This window comes from Homo sapiens, chromosome 6 (genome assembly GCF_000001405.40).
Source record: "Homo sapiens chromosome 6, GRCh38.p14 Primary Assembly".
Taxonomy (NCBI): Eukaryota; Metazoa; Chordata; class Mammalia; order Primates; family Hominidae; genus Homo; species Homo sapiens.
The window spans coordinates 100,448,870-100,470,644 of NC_000006.12; the positions used below are offsets into that span (position 1 = coordinate 100,448,870).

At 48.5% G+C, this 21,775-nt stretch overlaps 1 protein-coding gene across 2 annotated transcripts in view, besides 4 other annotated features; it reads right to left on the minus strand.

The window, feature by feature from the left end:
* SIM1 (SIM bHLH transcription factor 1) overlaps window positions 1-16,052 on the minus strand; it is a 79,913-nt gene extending 63,861 nt beyond the window's left edge. Inside the window, exons 1-6 of one of the 2 annotated variants that reach the window (NM_005068.3) lie at window positions 15,745-16,052; window positions 14,425-15,066; window positions 4,893-4,975; window positions 1,398-1,487; window positions 722-830; window positions 494-579 (exon numbers count right to left, since the gene is read on the minus strand). In NM_005068.3, coding sequence (NP_005059.2) covers window positions 494-579; window positions 722-830; window positions 1,398-1,487; window positions 4,893-4,975; window positions 14,425-14,599 — 543 coding nt within the window. In that variant the 5' untranslated portion in view covers window positions 14,600-15,066; window positions 15,745-16,052. Of the gene's footprint in view, window positions 1-493; window positions 580-721; window positions 831-1,397; window positions 1,488-4,892; window positions 4,976-14,424; window positions 15,067-15,526; window positions 15,588-15,744 lie in introns of those variants that run through there. The other variant, NM_001374769.1, reaches the window with a different exon arrangement.
* Window positions 6,214-6,775: an enhancer, noted in NCBI's record as "H3K4me1 hESC enhancer chr6:100902959-100903520 (GRCh37/hg19 assembly coordinates)". NCBI's record gives its function as "activates a minimal SCP1, AML or CMV promoter by ChIP-STARR-seq in naive H9 embryonic stem cells {active_cell/tissue: H9 hESC(naive)}" and the evidence as "EXISTENCE:reporter gene assay evidence [ECO:0000049][PMID:30033119]".
* Window positions 7,383-8,322: an enhancer, noted in NCBI's record as "VISTA enhancer hs2319". NCBI's record gives its function as "enhancer in: neural tube[4/7] | midbrain (mesencephalon)[4/7] | forebrain[4/7] | eye[3/7]" and the evidence as "EXISTENCE:transgenic organism evidence [ECO:0001131][PMID:17130149]".
* Window positions 8,310-9,291: an enhancer, noted in NCBI's record as "H3K27ac-H3K4me1 hESC enhancer chr6:100905055-100906036 (GRCh37/hg19 assembly coordinates)". NCBI's record gives its function as "activates a minimal SCP1, AML or CMV promoter by ChIP-STARR-seq in naive H9 embryonic stem cells {active_cell/tissue: H9 hESC(naive)}" and the evidence as "EXISTENCE:reporter gene assay evidence [ECO:0000049][PMID:30033119]".
* Window positions 18,784-19,375: an enhancer, noted in NCBI's record as "H3K4me1 hESC enhancer chr6:100915529-100916120 (GRCh37/hg19 assembly coordinates)". NCBI's record gives its function as "activates a minimal SCP1, AML or CMV promoter by ChIP-STARR-seq in naive H9 embryonic stem cells {active_cell/tissue: H9 hESC(naive)}" and the evidence as "EXISTENCE:reporter gene assay evidence [ECO:0000049][PMID:30033119]".

Sequence of the window (21,775 nt, forward strand, 5' to 3'; positions counted from 1 at the left end):
CTCACCTGGGAGCGCGTACAAAATGCAGAAGCCTGGCCCCACCAACCCTAACGCATCCGAATAGCGAAGTAGGTCCCTGAAACCTGCTAATGACGTTCAAGGACATTCAACGTGAGACCCATAGCTTCGAATTAAAGCTCTGGTTTCTAACCTCTTATGTAACGCTATGCATAAACTCTTAGGGATTCACCAAAGTTACTCGCCCATTCAGAGGCCTTACGGACCCTTAAGGCCCATCTCTACGGGTCACAAGTTCATAGCCCCCGCGGCCACCCAGTATTGGGACCCAGTCAGACTTTGTCTTTAAGCATAGTCCCCAGCTGTTCACAAAGTTCCGTGGCCCTCGTGGAGAGTCCTGGCCTGCGGCTCTTCGACGCAAGCTGGGGGTGCCCTTGCGGGTAGTCCCAGAGGTAGGGACATTCCTCCCACGCCGCACGCGCCTTGCTTCCCGCCTCCTCTGACTCCACCCGGAGCGGATCTTCCAGCTACGCACCTTGTAGCCGCCACAGGTGAGGCCGGCGTTACGCTTGGCCAAGACGCACTTCATCCTCAGGAAGAAGGAGCGCTCGATCTCATACTCTGGGAGAGAGGAACGAAGGGAAGCTCAGGTCGTGTGACACCGGCGGCGTGGGACAGCACGCGTCTCTGCCACGACTAATTGGGGAAAAACCACAAGCGGACTGCGATGGGCCTGAGCGTCGCAGGCATGTGTCTACCTTACCCTGCACGAAGTGAGAGTGGTAGGGTTGATGGGCGGTGAGCACCGCCGTCATCTCGTCGTGGTCTGCCGGGTGAATGTATTCATAAATGCTGTTTCCGGTCAGCTCTACCTGTAAAGAGGAGGATGTCGCCGTCGCCGTGGCGGTGGAATGCCCGGTGAAGGGACTGAAAGATTAGGCCAGGGGATCTGCAGGACCATGAGGACAGCAGCCAGAATTCTGGAATTGGCCCTGAGTTCCAATGCCAGCTCTGCTTCTTGCTACCTATTGCAGCCTATCTAAGATTCCACTTCCTTGTCTATATAATAATAAAAATAGCAGTAATAATGATGATAATAATAATAGTAGTAATAGTAGTAGTAGCAACAGCAGCAGCAGTTCCCTGGCAAAGTTCTGATAAAGACATCATGAAATAAGTATGTAACGTCCTCTCATGTTGTCTGGCTTGACGTAGGGACTCAAAAAAGTAGCCATTGTTTGGGCCTAGGGTGGAAGGTAAAGGAGAAGGGAAGTGGAGAAATGGAGAGACCCAGAACTATTTAAGAGTCTTCCTGCTAGCTGTGAGATGTCCAGCTCCAGGTTTAGAGAAGCACACCCAGCCCCCAACCCAGCCCCCTACCCCTGCTTCCAGCTCTGGCTGTAAACACTGCAGGTGGGATATGTGAACCACTCACCTACCTGAGAAAGACCCAAGTGGACTGAGGCTGTCTCTGAGATGTACATGATCTTCCCATCTGGGGCTACCACGAAGATGAAGCCATCCAGGGTCTGGGGAGGCACAAATAGAGAGAATAGAGAGCCCTCTGGGCCATCTGGAGAAATGGGAGCAGGAGGACAGAAGTTAGTGACTTTCAGCCAAAAGTGTAGAGAGATGGAGTGGAGCAGGTTTGGCAGGAAACAGGGCATAGAAAACTAGCCACATGAGCCCTTTTGTTCATTCTAAATTTGTAAACATCTGGGGCATGCAGCCCAATGGGAAAGATCCAGAGTAATTGGTGGACAAGGCTAGTGCCCTGTAAGACTCAGGATCCACTGAAACAAACAAGGAAAATACATCCATAAAACACACACACACTGTCTCTCTCTCTCTCTCTCTCTCTCTCTCTCTCACACACACACACACACACACACACACACACACACAGTTCTAGGGGGAAAAATCACAGCCTATGTGTTCTATAATGGAAGGAGTAATAGCAGGGTTTGGGAATAGCAGTGCAGTAGGCATTGGTCAGTCAATTTTGGAAGGGCTGGCAGTCAAAAGTTTGTAGACAGAAGAAAGCTGGCCAGTGACTCTGGAAAGAGTCCAGGACAGGGGGCGTTTAGGAGATGAGAGGCTTTACAAGGAGTAAGTCCACAGAGTATTGCCATAGGGTGTATGTGTGTGTAAGTTTACATTGATACATCAAACTGACAGGCTCTCCATGAAGGAAAGTCTTAAGACTTTCACTGTCTCTATCTCTGTGAATAAGGCCTCAGTCCAGGCAGAGACAAGAGGAGTCAGACCCTGCTTTCAAGGAGCAGGAAGTCCAACAGGAGCAACTGGCCTGAAGACAGATATAGTGACCACATAGCTGAACAGGTAGTGCTGAATAGGCAGGGGGCCCAGAGCCTGAGTGACCGGAGGCCTGGGGGACAATCAGGCCTTAGGGGAGCTGATGTTTGAGCAGAACCTTGAACAGGAAGCTTGGACTGGAGAAGAGAGAAAGAGCATTCTAGGCAGAAGGAATGAAGTGGCCAAGTCTGCTGGGTCTGGGGATAGGACCAATCTAGTGTATTCTGAGGTGATGAATTTGGTGTACTAGAGACTGCAGAGGAGCTAAACCTGCAATAGATTTTGGAGCTTGAAATGTCAATTTGAGAAACCTGGAGTTGCTCTGTAAGCACTAGAGTTCTAACAGGTTTCTAAGCAGGAGAATAGCATGCTTAGATGTGGCATTTGTTTAATTTTATTTTGTTTTGCAGAATGCAGACAGTGATCTGAGGAGGAAGGGGAGGGGAAGAGGAGATCAGAGAAGGCAGCTGCAGCAGAGATGGTCAAGCCTGAAATGGGGTAGTCACAAGGGGAATATAGAAAGGGGAGAATCTAATTCAAAGATGGTTCTGGATATGGACTTCACTGGTAGCAGAGAGAGGTTTACTTCAGTGTTTCAGTGAAGGCACTAAGCAGAAGGTGACATCATTAACCAAGATTTAGTGTGATTTTGTATGAGTAGAATTCTGGGGGAGGGAGATAATGCCTCCTTGTTTTGGAGATGCTAAACTTCAAGTGTATGCAGATTTCCATTTAGATGTGTCCAGTTTGCAGTAGGAAACAAAAATCTGGAGCTCAGACGGAGAGTCTAGACTAGAGAAACCAGTTGGTTTCATGTAGAGAAAGGAGTTGAGAGGCTGGTGTTGGGTGAGATTACCTGGGTGGCCTTGAAGCTGTAACAGGAGAAACAGAGCTGAAACCTAGGGGACATTACAGCATTTGCAGGCCAACCAGTGGTGGGGAAATCAAAAGGGAGCAGGCAGAGAGAGAGAAGAATCTGGGAAATAGTGCTATTTTAGAAACTGAGGGAAGGAGAGAATGTTAAATCATCAGTGTCACCTCCTTCAAGTCTTAGTCCAAATGTCACCTTCTCAGTGCGGCCCTCTCCAACCATCTCTTATTTTAAAAGGCACTACTCTTTCTTCCTCTCCTCCTTATTTTTCTCCATGGCACCTATACCACCTGGTAAACTATACACTGTACCAGTGTGGGCTTGTAAAGCTGCTCTCCTTAGAATGCAAACTCCATGAGAGCAGGGCTTTCCATCTGGCATGCGATTGCCCCTCCTAAATTTGCGGAATGAGTGAGCTTCATTAGGATAAGAGATGAGCATCTAATTCTTGCTATCAAAATGTGGTGAAGCCAGTGAAGAGCATGATGGGTGGGAGAGATGCCAGACTGCAGGGATGAGGGAGTAAATGGGGAGAGGGTGGGCCATTGAAATTGGGAATGTAAGTCAGTCCTACCAGAAATGTGGCATGAAGAAGAGGAAATAAATTGGCAAGAGCTGGAAAGTGTCAGGGACAGTTTGGATTTTGTTTTCTTGTTTATGTTTCTGAGGAAAATTAGTTGGGAATATGAAAATATTGGGGGAAGGACACAGGGAAATCTGATAGAAGATGTCTTAGAGTTAAGTGCCTTTCTAGATAAATTCAAAGGTGTGAAGGCCACGTCAGTGAGAGAATGCTTGCCCAACCCCTTCCTTTGTCCCACAAAACTAAAATCTTCTTGGTGTCTTGGAAGGAGAAAGGTATAGGGTAGTGGTAGGAAAAGGAGCTCCTGTCAAGAGATGCCACTCATGCCAGCCCACAGGGAGAACTTGCTTAGATTCCCCAAATGCTGCTTAGGTTCAAGGCTTCCAGGAGAGTAGCTCCCAGTGGGCTTGAATAATAATAATAATGATGATGTTGCAGGGTTGGGACAAGCGCAAAATCTAAAAATGCCACCGGGGTTTTGCAATTTAAAATATTTGTTCTGTGACTTAAGTAGGCAAAGAGCAAGTTAAAACTGTGAGCACTACAAACCACAAGGTAATGGGAGCCTAGCATTGGTTAAACTCATTATCTGGGGGTGTGTATGTGCTTAAGCAAGGTCCTGCACACAGCCTGGGCTGGCTTGCAGTGAAAGGCAATAGGAAGAGAAGAGGGAGCCTGGGCACTACAGGGACACAAAACCAGTTGCAGATGTAGCTGAATTGGAAAGACGTGGGCTTAAAGCACTGACAGGTCTTTTTACCAGATTCCTGTTATTTCCTTTGGAAATCCTTCATTTGGGATGGTTCTGTGGCCTTGCCTCTTCTGCCTGATCTGGGGTGTTCCAGTTCCCTCAGCCCAATGGAGACAAATGGTGCCCCCTCCCTTGGTTAGGGGCCTCGTTGGGCTACATTCCAAACCCAACTTCTCACTTGTCACCTTGCCTCCCTCTCAGCCTCTTGAGGCATCATCTGCAAAAGCTAAAATTTTACTTTGCAGCAGCTATTGGGCTCTGAGAGGGCCACGTGCAGTCCGGATCCCTGTTTTTGTGGGGGGGGTTGTTTGTTTTTTTTTTGTTTTTGTTTTCTGAGAAACTAAAAGCTCAACTCAGGGCCAGGCACTCAGACCCTCAAAGCTTATGTGTTGCCGGAAGACCTGCACCTGTACCTGGAGCAGATGGGAGCCCAGTTCTCGGCCAACGTTGTCCAGGGGGCTGGTCCGACTTGAGTGGCCCCACGCCTCGCCGAGCCCTGTGGAGACACAGAAGCATCCTGTAGCCACTGAACCCGGACCTGACAGGCAGTTTGGGACCAAGTCCCGCGACTGTATTACCCGAGTGCCGGCCCCTTTGACTGGATACCATAGGGGATCCCTCTCAAAGTGGACAGCGGGGGATGGGAGCGTGTACATTTCAGTCCGTCCTGTCAGCTTCTCAGCAGAGGTTAGATTTCCTCTTCTAAACTAAAACTGGTTTCTCAGGCCAAGGGCCCCCTGGTAGGACTCCAAGTGGCCCAGGCTCGGAAAAAGCCTCCAACATTGCACCCCACCGATAACTTTCATGTAGGTTCACCAGTGTGTTTACGGGGCGTAAGGGCACTCTGCTTCTCGCCCAAAGTTTTCATCGTCATCCGTTTCCCGAGGCCGAGCTTGTCCTAACACCAAGCGAAAGCCACTGCCAGCCCGCAGCGACCTGAGACGACCGGCCAGGTCCAACCGGTCCTTGGCGGGCTTTCTGATTGGCTGCGGGGCTTCTAGCCACTCTCCTCCCCTTGGCTTCTGGCTTTAATCGCCTTCGGAAAAATTAGTTCCCTGGCGGATGATTTCCAGCCTGACGTTTACCAGCATCCCTGTTCAACCCATCTTCCTATTCATTTCCCCTCCTAGCCCTCTGCCTTACACACAGCTCATGCCCCCTACCCACCCCCCTACCACCAAAACCCGCATAGGCTTTTTCTGAAGTCAGTTACTTTGGGTGCTAACAATCTTTTTGTAATATTTTCGTTCTCATCTCTAATTGAGACTCATTCAACTTTTCTACTTTCCAGGTACTGTATTCTATTAACAAAGACCCTCTCTTTCTCTCCTTGGTGTTTCCCCGTTAAGATCTTTGGAGGCTTTGCCGCAAACTTTCTCTGGTGATGCCCAAAAAAATAAAACGCTCCGGACTCTTGTGGCCGAGTTTTAAAAATTTAATATGGAGTCGGCTAGAGTACCCTTTTGCGGAAAGAAAAAACAAAGAAGGCAAAAAAACTTTCGAAGACCTGTGTTAAGCTATTTATGAGTATTATCTTTTTAATAGTGCTGCTGCTAAAATTATTTTAACTAGGTAGTTAAATCCTTTTATCCTTACACCATTAAACAAAGTTTAACATGACCTCCCCCATCCCACCCCTCAGAAAGGTGATTTACTGCGTTAAGGAGCAAATCACCAAGAAGTACACAATGATGAACACTCGCCTTGTAATATGAGGTTGGGGGCAGATCTTTCAAAATAAAACATGGAGTTGGATTTTTTAAAAGGTGTTGGCTAGGAGCTGCTTCCTAAGCAAGCAATCAAAGCCTTGGTAAGGAGGAACCGTGAGCGCCCCTTAAGCTCAAATCCGGTCTTTCTGGTTGTTTGCACATCTAAATAAATCTAACGATTTCCCCACCACTCTGCAAACACTGATGCTCCCCGCCCGCACTCGGGACTCCTCTACCTCTCTGGCTCCCGGTCAACTCATCCCGACTCTTTAGCCCGCCCGAGGTTTCCTCCCCGGAGTGACTCCACTGCCCTGGTCCCTGGGGTCCTCCTGGACCGTTCTGGAAGGGCCCCCGCCACAGCCACCTGTACACACCCCTTGGCCTTATCACATTTATCGCTCTTCCCCTTTCAGCCAACCTATTCTCCTTCGTTTCTGTCACGACCTGCTCTTCTCTTTCTAAATCCCGGCTCCGACATACCCACTCAGAAGGAGTGACAGGAGGGATTGGCTGCGGAGGCCACACGGGGGAAAGGAGAAAGGACCCTATTGGGAAAGCCGAGGACGCCGGCGACGCTGGCCCTTGGGCGCTCTGGGGCCTACGGAGGCCTTAAACCCCAAAGATTGGCGGGGACGAAGGGCCGGGGCACTCGAGCGAGCCTGGAGCGGGCAAAGACTGCGTTGCGACTGGGGACAGGTCTCGCGCGGTTCCCGAAGGGTGCGAAGACTGCGCTGAGCATTTTGAAGGCCTCCCAAAGCGGCTGGAAGACACCCCGAAGCGGCCTCCCAACCAGAATGATCTGAAAATCCCCCAGGCTGGGCTCGGGATAAATACTAGTTCTGAACTCCCGGCGCCAGCCTAGGCCATTTGTTGTTTCGGGTTTCGGCCTCATTAGTATGCGCCTACGAGGGAAAATGAGACTTCCCCACAGGTTAATAAACAACCTGTCCGGCACAGGTTAACAGGAGCCTCTCTCGCCCTCTCCTGCCCCACCCCCGCCACCTTTTAAGGAAGCTTTTGCCTTCCCGGAGGTTTGCCTTCTCTTTCTGTTCCCCGTAGAAATCTTACGATTGTGTCTGGGTTAATGTTTTATAAGGGACTGGCTACTCTCGTCTACCTGCCGGGCTTTCCCGATCTAATATCGAAGGAACCTCCCCAAGTCCTAGTAAGGGGTCCCCCCTCCCTAAAGTCTCGAAGTGGGGTAGAGACCTTCTCCCTGGAGCCCCTCGCCTCCTGCCTTCGGTGACGCGCTCTAGCACACCCAATTTCAGTTGGCGAGGGGGTAAGCTGAGATTTCGTTTCTGCACTTGACCTACCGCAGAAAATTCGCAAATCCTTTGATTGTCTGTTTAAAATGAGGAGGAAACCAGCTCCCTTTGCGGCGGGATTACAGTGGGAACAAGATCTAAAGATTCTCTTGCAATTCGGCGAGGCCGAGGGAACGGGGTTTTGCAAAAGAGAAAAGGAGCTCTGTGAGGGAGGCGATAACTAAATCGGGTTTTAGACAAAAGGATTTTCCTCAGCTAAAGTGGCCGAAGACAAAGGAAAACAGAATCTATTTTGGAAGATTTCCAAGAAATGCCACATTAACCTTAGCTGATAAATTTTGCTTCTCCCAGGCCCCCCTCTTCCCTTAAAGTCTGCTTTATCATATTTACATAAGTAGCATTAGAAGGGATGTATCTATTATGGATCTAAAGGGCTAGCTCACATTTCCTGTGAAACTCAGGCAAGTTTCACTGTGGCTTTACCCTCCGTGCTTAGTTGAGCCATTTCCATTTAAATACCCCCTGACCCAAGGATTACCTCAATGGACTGACTGCACGGGTTTTGTAATTTCCTGAAAATGAGATTTCGATTTATAAAACAAGAAACCAATTAGTAACCAAATGAGGCGAAGTAGATCCACTAAAATTGACCTAATCCCACAGGCACCATTTAGGCCCGTTCTTGGCGAATGAATGATGAGCCCCAGTCTAGTGTGAGCTCAAAGCATCATCCAGCTGTGTTATTGCAGGCAGCAAAAATAAATTGATAGAGCTTTTCCTTCGGAATGAATTTAATACCCTTGACAAAATATATATTACAGACCCGACATCATCACCGCCCTCACTCTGACAGGAAGAGGAGGAAGATAAGCGTGTGTTCTGTTCTTTTAAAATTTTTCTTTATTTTAATAAATAAACGCTACATCTCAATAGAAATGTATCCTCCTTGCAGTCCTTCCCGGGAACCTTCACCTCCCCAACTAATTGAGGTGCCTTGTAGGCAATGGGGGAGGGTGGCGGAGGCCCTGTTCCATGACCTGACTACGACTTGGTGACTGAGGAGGGGAAAGCCCTCCTAGGCCGAGGCCACTGCGGTTCCTGAACAGCTTGTCTCAACCAACTGTGTATCCCTTGAGAGAGTGTAGGAGAGTCTGGCCCAGGGGGTAATCCTGAAAACCCCAAATCCCATGTATCCTGCCGGGCCTGCACATCCTCGCTAAATGTGTACTGTGCAAGTCTTCCCCGGGCTGAGGCGTCGAGTGGCCTTCGTGTTCAGCCTCCGGGCGCCTCCGCAGCCGAGCTCTTTAGAGAAAAAAAGAGAGGGAAATTGGTGCAACCAGCCCGAATCAAGCTCCTAGAGCAGTCACTGGTAGGAGGTCCCTTCACGCACCAAGGCGCACCCGACCCCACCTCTGGCACTGCTGCCCGCCCTGCCTGCGGCCCTCTCCGGCTAAGGAGCCTGTGTGGTTGACCTGAGGGCATCGGCGAGCGCGCCGGGCCAGGTCTTGTTCCACGCAGCAGCCTGGACCCCACAGTGTGTGCCTGCACTCGGCAGTGCCCTGATCTCTCCTGCCTGCTGATCCCGGGCCAGAGACACCGCGGCCGCACCCAGGGAATCCACTAATGTTACTGTAAATGTGGGGTGGAGGCCGAAGGTCACACCGCTGTCTGTCTCTCTCTTTCTCTCTCTCTCTCTCTCTCTCTCTCTCTCTCTCTCTCTCTCTCTCTCTCTCTCTCTCTCTCTCTGCCTTCGCGGAGCTCCAGCCCTCGAGTTTGGGCTTCCCGTAGGGATAGAGCCTGCGGGCCAACCTGGCTGCCCGAGTTGGAGCCAGCCGCGAAAAGACGGCAGAAACCCAAGGAGGGCGGGGTTCGGCCAGACTAAAACTGGGGGCGAAATTCATGCAGCGTTCATGAGACAGTCCTGCGTGACGGCCGAAAAACGTCAATCGATGTCGCCCTGGGACTCCGGGTCTTCGAATGCGGCCCAGCTTTGGCTATGCCACCTCCCTAGAGGCCCGCGCTGGCGAGGCCGAGCCCGAACGCGCGGGCGAATCCCACTTAGGTTCTACTTGGCGCAGGGACTCGGACGATGGCACCTAACCCGCCTTCCCGGGAACTGCCCAAACAGACTGGATCTGGACCTAAGGTTTAGACGACTGCTTGCCCTTCAGGGACAGTGGCCGGGAGGGCAGGAGGGGCTGCTGGCACACACCTGCACCTGCGGGACCTCTGATGAGGGCAGGGGGCGGCTCCTGGGCCGGCCTGGGGAGTAAGGAGACTCTGTGCTGAGGCCACGAGCTAGGCCCTTGGCTGGGGCCACCGCGGACAGAGGATGGGACACACCGCGCAGACCTGGCTGACTGCGTGCTTCGGGCGGTGCGGGAGGCGCGACGGGGACCTCGACATGATTGTCCCCTGTCGGCCCTGCGCCGCCGAGGCCGAGTGACAAGGCGCAGGAACCGCCTATTCGGTGGGGCTACCAGCGGAAGGAAGTTTACTCTGCAGTGGACACTGTTTTAGCACTTTAAGAGTAGCAGGACCATTCCTAAATAATTGAGGTTCCCCCTCCTCCACACAAAATTTTAAAATTTCACGGATCAGACACTGGCAATGGGTGGCCCATTAAAATCATTAGGTGTTAGCAAGGTACAAGCCTCATTTTCCTGAGAAATACCTGGCGGGACGGAGAAGTGCGGTGAGAATCTATGGGCTCTCATTCTGTGTCCACATTTGGGTCTGTAAAAGCTGGAAGCTCCCAAGATTTCTTAGAACTGGACAACAACTCCCCTAGAAATTAGATTTGTTCTTTAGAAATTCAGCCCCGTTTTATCATTAGACGGGTGATTGCACCCTGCTTGAAAGCATCCCACCATAGCTTATAATACCTGTTTTTGTTGTTGTTTGTTGTTTTTATTAGTGATCCCTCCCATTAAAGAAAAAAGTATTTTTTTTATTGATCTGATCTACAATTTCTAGCATATAAATCCGCCTTGCAAATGCTCTGCACGGAGTTTAGTTCTGCACTCCACATTTTAAGTCAACATCAAAACTGGAATTAAACACAGAAAACTAGCATGGAGGGTAAACTGTGCTTAAAGGCCTTTAAATGAGAAAAACTTCTGTAAGAAAATAAACATGGAAACCTAATGCTCAATCATTTCCCCAAGAAGCAAGAAAAACAGCCTTAAATCACCGACCCACGTGGGACATGGGGCCTCTTTTTCTTTTTCAGTTCTCTGCCTCAAAAAAATATAACACCATTAAGAATTTCAATCTTGAGGTGAATATTATAGAAACCATCTGTGGAAGTTTGTTTAATCACCCTTGTAGAGATGATCTTTCCTGAGTAGTTACTAATTTCAACTCTGTGATTATTTTTATTTTTCCAAGACATCTTGTCAATGAAATGGCAATGTGATGTTACCAAGATTCTGAATAGCTATAGATCAGAAAATATATCTGATCCTTTCAAAGTTGATTATGAAAGCCTCCACACCCCCAGCCAAAATTGCTTTAGAGCTGGATAACAAATATGTATGTCTTTCTAGTTGAATTTGTCCTATTTTGCACACAAATAAAGTCATGCTATTTTTTAGATCCTGCCCCTCTGGCTTTGATAATACCAAAGATTTATACATTTCCATGTGCCTCAATTTTTTCTTTGCAAGGCTACTTTGGAATAGAATATGTCACTAATTGGCAGATATGAAGTGTTAGTGATTTCTCAGTTATCTTTCCTAATTTTCTTTTTTCTCTGAAATCTCCAATCTAATGCTTTATTCTTAATTATTCCAGGTACCCATATTCCATTTCTCTGTTCTCCCACTCCCCCATTTTCACCTAAACAGTTTAATTTCATCTAGTCAGGCAAATAAAAGCTGAAACTTGCCCCCAGACAAGGAAGCTACTAGACTTGGGAGAAAAAAAAAAGTGTATTCGGCAAATGAGAAGGGAAGGAAATTGCCTGTATTTAAGGTGTATTTAAGGATATTTCTTCTTTCAAATATAATTATGAAATGATTTTGTTTGTTCATTTAACTTATAGCCTTTTGGCATTACAGTGTGTTAGAGATGAAATAGTGTATGAACAAAACTGAAGTTTTACAGCATTTTTATACCTATAGCTATGTCACCAGATTAATAATTATTTAGATTATATACCTTATAAAATCCATATATTACCTGTGATAAGACACTTATACCTATCTTTATTTCATCCTTAAAGCTGTATTGAGGACCTACTATGTACTAGGGTGGCTTCATGATAAATGTAAAGATGAATTTCATCTTCCAACAAATTCCATTTAACGCCACTAGAAAAGATTACATCCATATAAAGTGATCAGTTTCCCCAACTGCCTTGGACCCCAATCTTGTTTGCTCTCTGCCTTCAGTCAACACTGAACTTAAATTTGGCACCCCCTATAGGTTGTGCCTGGTCTTGCGATTGTGACTATTTTATTCCTTTGAAAGCTGTTGTTGTTGTTGTTGTTGTTCTTTAATATTTTAAAGAGCTGTGTTTGATTTTGGGTTTTTGAAGCTTGTCCACCGTCAAAAATTAAAAACTCATCCCTAGGAGCCAGCTGTTCTGATGACCCTGTCTAGCTCACTGGGTGGAGGCTGAGGGTGAGTTATGAGCTCAACAGTAGCTAGAGAAACAAATGATGTGCCCAGAGTTCACACATCGTCCATCCCCTCCTCCCCATAAACTCACACTCACCCACAGAAGGGAGAGAAAGGAGGGGTCCGGGGCTCGGGGGAAGGTGAGGGGGCTGCAGAAAGCACAGTCACTGTTAAAGTAGCCAGAGGGGACCGTTCTGGCCACCAAGAGGACTCCAGCGGGAGCCTTCATTGGCGCTCTCTTTAAAAATAACGAGAGGTTGGCTGTAAGAGTTTATTTTGTTCCTATTTATTTATAACGAGACTTATAATGTGTAGAGTTAGCACTTAATTATGCAAAAAGGCTTGCTCTTTTAAAAACAAAAACAAAACAACAGCAGAAAACAGCCCGATTTCCTCCCAGCTGCGCCTGCCCCCGGGTCTACACCAAGCCGACTAGCTTCCCTGGCCGGCCGACTCCCCGGGCTCTCCCGGCCGGCTCGGTGCCCGCCCCAGAACGCCGCCCTGCTATTCTTCTCCTCCCGCGATTACTCGCAGCCCCACAAGCAACACCATATGCTGCTTCTGATCAAACAGCGAGCGACATCGGCACCAATAATTGACGAGACCGGCTGGAAATCACGCAGAAAGGGAGCCCACTGAGACCGCAGGGGCTGACAAATCACTGCTAATAATCCTGTTAGGAACAGTGCGGCCAGCGGAGTTCGCAATAGCTTTATTTTTATAAAGTAGGCGCTGACAGTATAAAAGACAACGAGATCTCTTTTTTAAATAGAAGGCAGTGTGGTATAATGGTAATTATCCCATCAACAATTCATAGCACAGTTTGAACGGGAAATGTGGTTTTTAGTATATAAGTTCCCCTTCTTTTTCTTCTTTTTTTCTTTCTTTCTTTCTTTTTTTTTTTTTTTTTTTAATTTTCAGGTACTTTAGGCTTTCATTTCTTTTTTCCCCACAGTTTCCAGGGTCAGAGAAGAACTGTTCAAGGAACTGCTTTAGGAGGGAACGACTAAAGCATCACTTGTAGTTTGAAGGTAGAACTGAACTATAATTTGAAAGTTTTCCTTTAGCTTGGAGCATGTTTTTCATGCTCCACTAATTTGGAGCATGTTTTGCAGGCTTTTTGACTTAGATAATAACTTTTATGTCATGATCAAGCAAAGTGAAACTGCAAACCCAATAATGACTGTTTCCTGCTCATCCATTCATTTAACGGAAAACCACAAACCCCAAACATCTAAAATCAACAACAACAAAAACCTCCAGGGGTCAAATCAGAAGTTCTCATTTGTAAATAAACACAATTCTTTCCCTTGGATTTTTGTTTGTTTGCTTGTTCAGTAATCCCTCTTTTACATTTCTGAATCCCCTTCCCCCAGCAAAGACATATCTAAAATATTTTTAAAAATCTGTTTGCATTATTTGAATCCAAGTAAAGGAAAAGATGGACAAATAGAAAAGTGTCCTTTTCTAGTAAGTATAAATGGTTGTATATAGGACAGTGTTCTATGAAAGCTGCTCTGTCCTCACACAGTGAATCTTGATAATCTAAATATGAGTTTTAAATCATGTCAACAGCTCAGCTATTCTAACTTCTAGGCCTTATAAGACAATTTTCTCAGGATCTATTTGCCAACCTGCCACCCAGAAGATATTTTCTAAGCGGGCTAGCCATCTTAATTCAATCTTATGTATTTTAGGACTAGCCTATTATCTTACAGATAACATCAAGCCCACAGTTGCAAATCATCAAGCTCCAGAGTTAGTTTCAGAATCTGCGAATGTCTTGAAAACTCGGAATAAATTTGCTTAGAATTTATTTAAGAACTTGAGTAAATTCAGGCATACTTGTTCACAAATATGCATGTTACTCATTTGCAAATCTTTAGATATATAGAGAAATTATTATCTGGCCTATCTAGCTCCAGGTACATGGGTCTATCCACACCTGGCAAAAAAAAAATACAGAATTAGGCGGTGCTCCTGGTTTTTACTGGACAAAATTCTAACAAGAGGAGTAAAAAAGAAAGTCATGTTTGGATTAGTAGTACTTTCAATTGAGCCTAGTATCTGAAGTGTTGACAAAAGGACTGTTGGGCTGCTTCCCAACCAAACATATCTGATGGACTGAAGAGAAAGTATTGATGGGGAGGTAGAGGGAGCCTCAAAAAAGCGACAGAAATTCTGAGTTCAGTGAGGACCTTAGTGAAGCAGCCGAGCTAAACTTCCCTTTGCAAAATATATATGTAAATATGTATGCATTTCTCTGGTCACTGATGTCGGCTCATTGCCTGGCAAATCCCCGGCCCCTTCTGCCTTTGAAATTCCATCTGGGCAAAGTCACTTACCTTCTGGGAACACCACTCTCATTTTGAGATAGCTGGTCGTGAGTCTGATTATGGATGCTTTGTCCAGCTGCGAGGTGATAGCCGAGGGCAAAGGCAGTAATTTAGCCAGTTCATAAAATTCACTGTTTTCCTTCTCCCTCCTAGTCCGCGCAGCATTTTTGGACTTTTCTTTCATTGTGTCTTGTTCCCCCTTTCTTCTCACAACTTAAGCTCCGCAGATTCATCCAAAACCAAAAATAAACTTTCAATTAGAGATCATATTTGGCAAAAACATAAAACATACTTTGAATAAAGAGGCTGAAGTATTTGCACCAAGAACAGTGTATTGATGGCAGTAAAAGACCAGCGGGGGTGAACGGAAAATATGTTCTTTGAAAATTCGGGATGCAGTATAGGAAAGTTGCTGATCCACCGAATTTGGGCGATCCACCGAATTTGGGCAATCCTGAGGGTCGTTCAGGGTATCAAATGCCAGTGGGACCCCTGAGGAGCCAGCCTTTTCTTCTACTGCCAGCTGCGAACCCTGGTCCTCGGAAAATCGACATAATAATCCCTGACGTTTGCTCTTCAGTCTCGCGGCATTTAAGGTATCTCCGAGCCCCTTTGGGAAGAGCAGGAACCCCAGACAACTCTTTCAAGGCCCTGTGAAGACAACAGCATCAGAGCATAAGAGATCAGCGGCTCCACAAGTACTCACACACTCGTCCCAATTCCAAAAACACGGCCGGAAAGGGCCTCAGTGCGCCTAGCCAGGCGTTTTGGGTTTGTTTTTAAAGAAACGGGTAAATCGGCAGCGAGACAGCCCCCTGCAAATAATGCTGGCATTCCCTCACCCATGCCAGCCGCATCCTCCAGACCCCTGGGAAGTTGCCCAAACAACAAAATACATATTTCTGAAGACCCGCAAGGGATCTTCCGCCGCGGATCCCCGAGTCCGCGCCCAGGCCGGGCGCACGTCCCAGGAAAGCAGGTTTCCGCAAATCAGAATTCCTCCAAGGCGAGGCAGGGGCCTTTCAGCTCCCTACCTTGGCAGATCTGGACCTTGGCTACCTCTTTAACTTGGGTCTCAAGTCTGAGGGATTCCTCAAAAAGTGACACTTACACACCAAGTCTCTCGGGACTCCCAAGGCGACCCAGCGCTCTGGCTGCCCAGCAGGGGCTGCAACAAGCGGGGCCCAGCAGCGCCAGGTTAACAGGTGGCGCGCTCGCGACAGCCCCTCGCAGGCTCCCCCGGGGGTGGGAGGCGCCGCGGCCTCTCCCACACCACCGCGGAGCTGCGGGGCTGCTGGGCGGGCGCGGGGCGTCTTCTGCTTCACCTACCTTCAGTCCCCACAAGCGGCAGAGGTTTCGGGGGCGCCCATCTCTTAACTGTTCTCATGCCTACCGTCCAACCCAGCGACACCGCCGGCCTCTCCGCTTCCCACCGGCAGAGAGGAGCAGAGCATTCCCGGCTCCCTTTTCTGGATCATGAATTGGAGGAGGGGTGCGTGGCAGAAAGAGGAGGATGCAAGCTTTGGGACGAGTGAGGTGATTTTAGAATCCTGGTCCTCCGTAGTTGCTACGAAGCCAGTTCACTATTATTCCTAATTGGAAGCCGAAAACTGCCCCCCGTAACTTCTTTATAGCTTAAGGGTTTAGCTTCAACTTCACTCCGGGGCCGCCTCTCTCCCGCCCTCCCTCAATGCCACTCACAAGCCCCCTCGCCTCCCATTGGCCTGGCGCGGCCAGGGGCGAGGCGCTCATTGGCCAATAGGGCTGAGTGACACGAGTCGGCCCCGAGCCGCCCTCCGCGCGCCCAGGCTCCGGGCTCTGAATCTTACTACCCGCGGGACCGCTGGACTCCTAATGAGCTCAGGGTGCCGGGTCGGCGCTGTCCGGTTGCCGCCGCTGCTCGCGGCCTCCTGGGCCTTCCCGACGTCGTGCGCGACCCGCGCTCCTCGAGCTCCCTGGGGTCGGGTGGTTGAGCGCTCAGTCCAGCGCGGCGGCCCAGCAGAACCGGGAACGTCCGGAGGCAGCGGAGGTCGGGCCTGCGGGTTAGGTCTACCGGCGGAGGAGGCAGGGTTCGCCCAAAGGCCCATCCCGCTGGCAGTCGCTGGCCGACGGCGTGCGCGAGGCCGGTTTGGGGAGTTATTTTCTCTTTCTCGTTTCTCTGAAACCATGGCGACACGGAATTCATTGCCAGAGGAAATAAATACAATAACTGTCTTTAAATTAATCCCAAAGAAGTGCGTCTTTTTCGAAATGGCTTGGGTTTGGGGCTGATTTTTTTCACCGTGGAAACTCGGCCGGGGAGTTTTCCTATGGGGAGCAGCTAGGGGGACACTAGGGGAAAAGCTTACATTTCAGGGCAAAATAGAATGATTGATATAGAGATACATAGCTCCCAACAGTCCTTTATCTTAAACATTAGCCAACTCTTTGTCGGGTTTTGTTTCAGGAAACAAAAGTCCAACATGATTATTCCTTACAGAAAGGATACAGTCTACATGAATGAACTTAACGATGCTCGCGGTTCCCTAATAGGAGCTGTTTAAACAAACGCTCACCAGGACTCTTGCTGACTAATTATCTTTTAGAGACCCTCTAATTTGAACCGCCTTCTCTTTCTCTCATCTGAGAAAACACAACAGGTAGCATCAAGAAAAAGTCAAATTGTCCCAAAAACAATTGTTGTCCTCACGAATCACCCCCTACAGACTCGACTCCCGGCTTGGTTTTGGTACGCCGGTGACCAGATTCGGCTCCTAGAGGTGCGTTTGGAGGGAGTTGTTTCATCTACCATAAAAATCAGTGAGAACACCAGTGACGGGGCACTCATCCTCTCGTTTGTGGCGCTAATTGCCACTGAGAAAATAAATACTTTGAAGAGGGGTGTGTGCCATTCTGCTGATATTCAGAACAACTTTAAGAGTGTTTGTTCAAAAATACAGACATCTGCCACCTCCTTGCCGCCCGATGGCAGTAAGATAGTCGTAGAAGGACAACAGCAGCTTTCTGGTGTTATTTACATATCTGGGCAACACCTGGCTGGAGGAGGTGAAAGTTTTGGATAGAAAGAAAAAGAAAGAAGCACGGAGATTTTGTAGGTCTTTCAAAACTGGAATCCAGCTAATGGACTCTAATCTAGGAGGAGTCATTTCCCCAGTGGCTGTAGCCACTTAGAGATCTGGTTCTGGGCGCCTTCCAACCACCCAATGATGCGCTTTTAACAAGACATAGCTAGAAGATAGCGAGAGATGCACTGTGGCTCACTTATACACAAGATTCCAGAAAGATCAGATAAGGTCAAGTTGGCTACTACATGTAAAGTCGGGGGTGGAGGGTGCGTGTGGAGAGGGGAAATAACCTTTCTTGACCCTCCTCTCCCCTCCAACCAGGTCACATATAGCTGCCAGGCGAAGCAATGACACTTAGGGTTAAGAGGAGGTTTTCCATTCGACTGTGTTCTAGAGAGGATTTCAGTCAAGACCGCGGTTACTCTAACCCTATCTCTACTTAAAACAACATGCCGGTGTGGAAGTGCCTCTCTGGGGTTTGAAACCTGTGTCCACAGCAGGGACTTCCGGGGGGTGGAGGTAGGGAGTCAGGTAATGCTGGGTTTCCAGAAGAAAAAATGCAGTAATTTTGCCTTCAGAAGCAAGATGGGCAAAATGAGTAAGGAAGTCTTCACGCTTAAGGCTGACGTCCTGGGGGGCTGGGCGGGCTGTTCCAATGTCCCAGTGAAGCTCAGTTGTCAATGAGCCAAGTAGATGTCGTTTAATAAACAAAGTGAATGCACGACCACGAGGTGACGGCCTCTCGCTAAGTCCTCAGCACACAACTGTCTGAGCCGCGTTTACCGAGAGAGTGAATTAGCATGACGACGTAACACCTGTTTTTCTAATCTTTGAACCTAGGTTGGAGCCGGAACGCTGCTCCTTCACTCCCCCTCCCGGGCCCAGGGACCTGGCTTTGCACCCTCCCCACGACCCCGCCTGCCAGCCCCCCACGCGCCCTGTAGCCGGAGGCGTGAACCGTGAACCGGAACCTCAGGTGCCTCCCACGTGTTCTGCGAATTTACGTTCGCCTCTAGCACGGGAAATTTTAAATGAATTTCTTGAAGCTCAGAGACTAATCGTTTTGCCAATATAAGGAGAAAAGCCCCAGAAAGGAAGAGACGGTCACGGGCGACCCACTAACCCCAAATAGAGATCCTTATAGAGTCTAGGCCGCCACCTCCTTGAGCCGGTGGCCTTAAAACCTAGCCTCTGGCCCTCAGGCACCCAGAATGCGATCCTGATGTGGGAGAAAACCCATGCGGGGCTGCAAAAAAGTGTCTCCCTCCTTCCCCCACCAAGCAGGGCGAACAGCCTAGTGTGATGGCGACACTGTTCCCCCAAGAGTCCCTGCCACTTCTGGGGCAACCCAGGATGCTGCCCTCATGGAGCCTGCCCCGGACCCCGGAGGCCAGGACATGCAGGCGTCCGTGACTCTACCCCAGGGGAGCCAGGCCGGGTAGATTCTGGAACCAACGCGCCTTTGTGAGCAATGTCTAGCATGCCGCGCGCACCCAGAAAGAAGGGGGAGCGGGCACCTCAAGGGCCTTCTGACCCCTCCCCGCAAAAGGCAAAATCAAGACTACAGAAGGTGAACTTTCGGTTGTAAAAGAACGAGTGAACACATACTGGAATTCCGGTGCAAACCGCCGAACCGGGGTTCAATGCCTCGGCCCCCGACCCTTGCTCTGGCACAGACCTCCACCCTGCCTTCCAAAAACTCCTCTAATGACTCTTCTTTGCTCCAGGCTGTTTGAGCATCTTATCAAAACTAGAATGATTTCTGTCCACCACCATTCTCTTTATTTTTTTGCAGACTGCTAGGGACGCACACATACACTTTTGCATGCTCGCACATCCCACATGCACAGTTGCACAAAGCACACACACATGGATTTTGCTCAATGTCCAAGGTCAGGATGAAGGATATATTTATAACCAAGATACAAAATCTGAAGATGGTCACTCGAACATCTCAGTATGTTACATCCAGATGTTCACTCTGTCACTGAAAAGGACAAGTTATCTAGGGACATATTATTGTCTTAGGAAATATTAACATTTTCTAGTTCCAAGTATATTAGTTAACGTAATCCTGTCCTAGACTCATTTATTTTTACCACATTTAGACATTTACATCTCTGAGAGTCGTTATGATGTTGAGGCAGAAACAAGGGCCACTTGTAGCCTTGACCCTAAACAAAGTGTAGAAGGAGCCCCCCAAAATATGGTCATATTTACTATTTAGAAGTTATGGTAAATATTACTTGTCTGATCAGGACGTTTTGAAAAGTATATTTTATGTATATAAATATAAAAAAACCCTTTTCCTAGGTACTGCTTTTCAGTTGTCTCCCTAAATTGACCCGTGAAATACCCCCAAATTCACTTCAGTGGTTACACACTGGAAAAAAAGAAAGAAAGAAAAAAAGAAAATGCACCAAGTTGGAAAATGAGATTGGCGAATACAAGTAAGGGTTTCATATAGTTTCTCTAAATATTCTGGTTAATTTTCCAGATATTGGAAACCGTGGTCTAATATATAACCTTGAACGGCCGCTGGGAAATAAGTGCTTCTTGAATTGTGCACCACTGTATTTGCAGACATAAATTTTAAGCTTTAAAGAATATAATTATTTTAAAATATAATTGCTAGCTGGAAAGAGGTCTGATTCTGTGCATTCTGAGGATGGGAGCAGGTGGGTGCCTGCCGCTCCAGGTGCCTGCGCTTTCACACTTTTCTTTTCCAGAAATCGAGCGGAGGACGCTGTGTGTGCATAAATTTCAGCAACGCTGAATACAGGCACTCAACTGAGGCGTTCTAACTCTGGAGATGAACACTGGATTGGAAACTCGGGTTGAAAAACACTTTGATTCTTAAATCGGTTCCCGAATTTCAGACCAAACTCGGGGTCACTTGGCATGGAGGTGGGGGAGGAGGGCGGCTTTTAAATATAAACCCTAAGGCCCCACCTTGATTTAGGAATAGGAAATCCCTGTCCGAATCGGGAATTGGCATTCCGTAAGGGAGCGGAGGGCCTCAGGCCACTAGGCAGCTCCGAACGCGGGGAAGCGGGAGCAAAGATGAGCTCAGAGCGAGGGTTGCCGGCGCCACCCTGGGCTGCGCAGTGAGGGGCCGTGGACCCGCCCCGAGACTCAGTGACAGTCGCAGCTTAACCCCGTTGGGGGCGCCGCCCCGCTGAGGTGGTTGCGTCTCCAAGTCGTGAGCCTCCAATAGCTGCTCCCGCTTTCGCGTCGCAACCCCAGGACCCCGGGAAATTACCACTGTGCTCGTCTGGGCCGGAGACCCGGTGCTTCGGAAGCCTGGGGCACATGCCTGGGTCCCACCCTAGACTCACCGCCTCTGGGCCCGAGACATGGGAATCTGCCCTTGAATATCTGGGCGCCTTTGCTGTTAGCGCGGTTTTGGAACTTGAGCGTGCATGGGAATTGATTGGAAGGCTGCTTAAAACACAGATTGCTGGGCCTCACTTCCAGAGTTTATGATTCAGTAGATCTGGGGTGGAACCCAATAGTTTATTTGCATTTCTAACAGGTTCCCAGGTGATGTTGCTGGTGAGGGAACCGCACTTTAAGAACCATTGCCTTAGTCTGCTTTTTCTCAGCCTGCTTCTGAAGTAGAAGACTGTGAGGAGGGAAAATATTCGAAGCGATGTCCCTAGTATTGTGGGATCTTGAACATACAGCATAAAATGATAGGGCGGTCTAGTTGAGGCCCAGGAGTGAGGCTGTCCTCTGTGATAAGGATGGGGTCTCTGAAGATGGCTTATTCCTGCCTCCTTAGGAAAGTGGTTAGTGTCAAAAAAGGGAGAGGAAGCCGGGGCAAACTTCCGTGGGGAGTTTGGCTTCAGAAGAGCAGGGAAATACACAGGGTGCTCTCACAATGTTTCAGTGTTCCAGGGTTCTCAGCTATGTTGCTGGAAATAAGTCCAGAGACTTTGGTTCAGTCAACCAGGGGTGGGACACACTGGAAATATAGCAGACAAGCATTGGTTCTCCTTTTGGCCTCAAACCTGTTCCCTCATTTTTCAAGACCACTTAGGCATAAAGGGTTCAAGGTGTGTGTGTGTGTGATGTTGGTGCAGGGGGAGTGGTCGCTAGAGGAGGGGGCCCTGCCTGGATGCATTGGGCCAGGGTGGTCTAGGCCTCCCCTCAAGTGGCAAGGGCTTCCTCTTGTGCAGGGTCAACGTTATGACACAGCTTTGTTGATCCTTAAGCACTTTTGTAATGTTTTTATGGCTCCATCCTGCATAAGAAAATATTTTAAAATTATATTTTGCAACTGCATTGGTAAA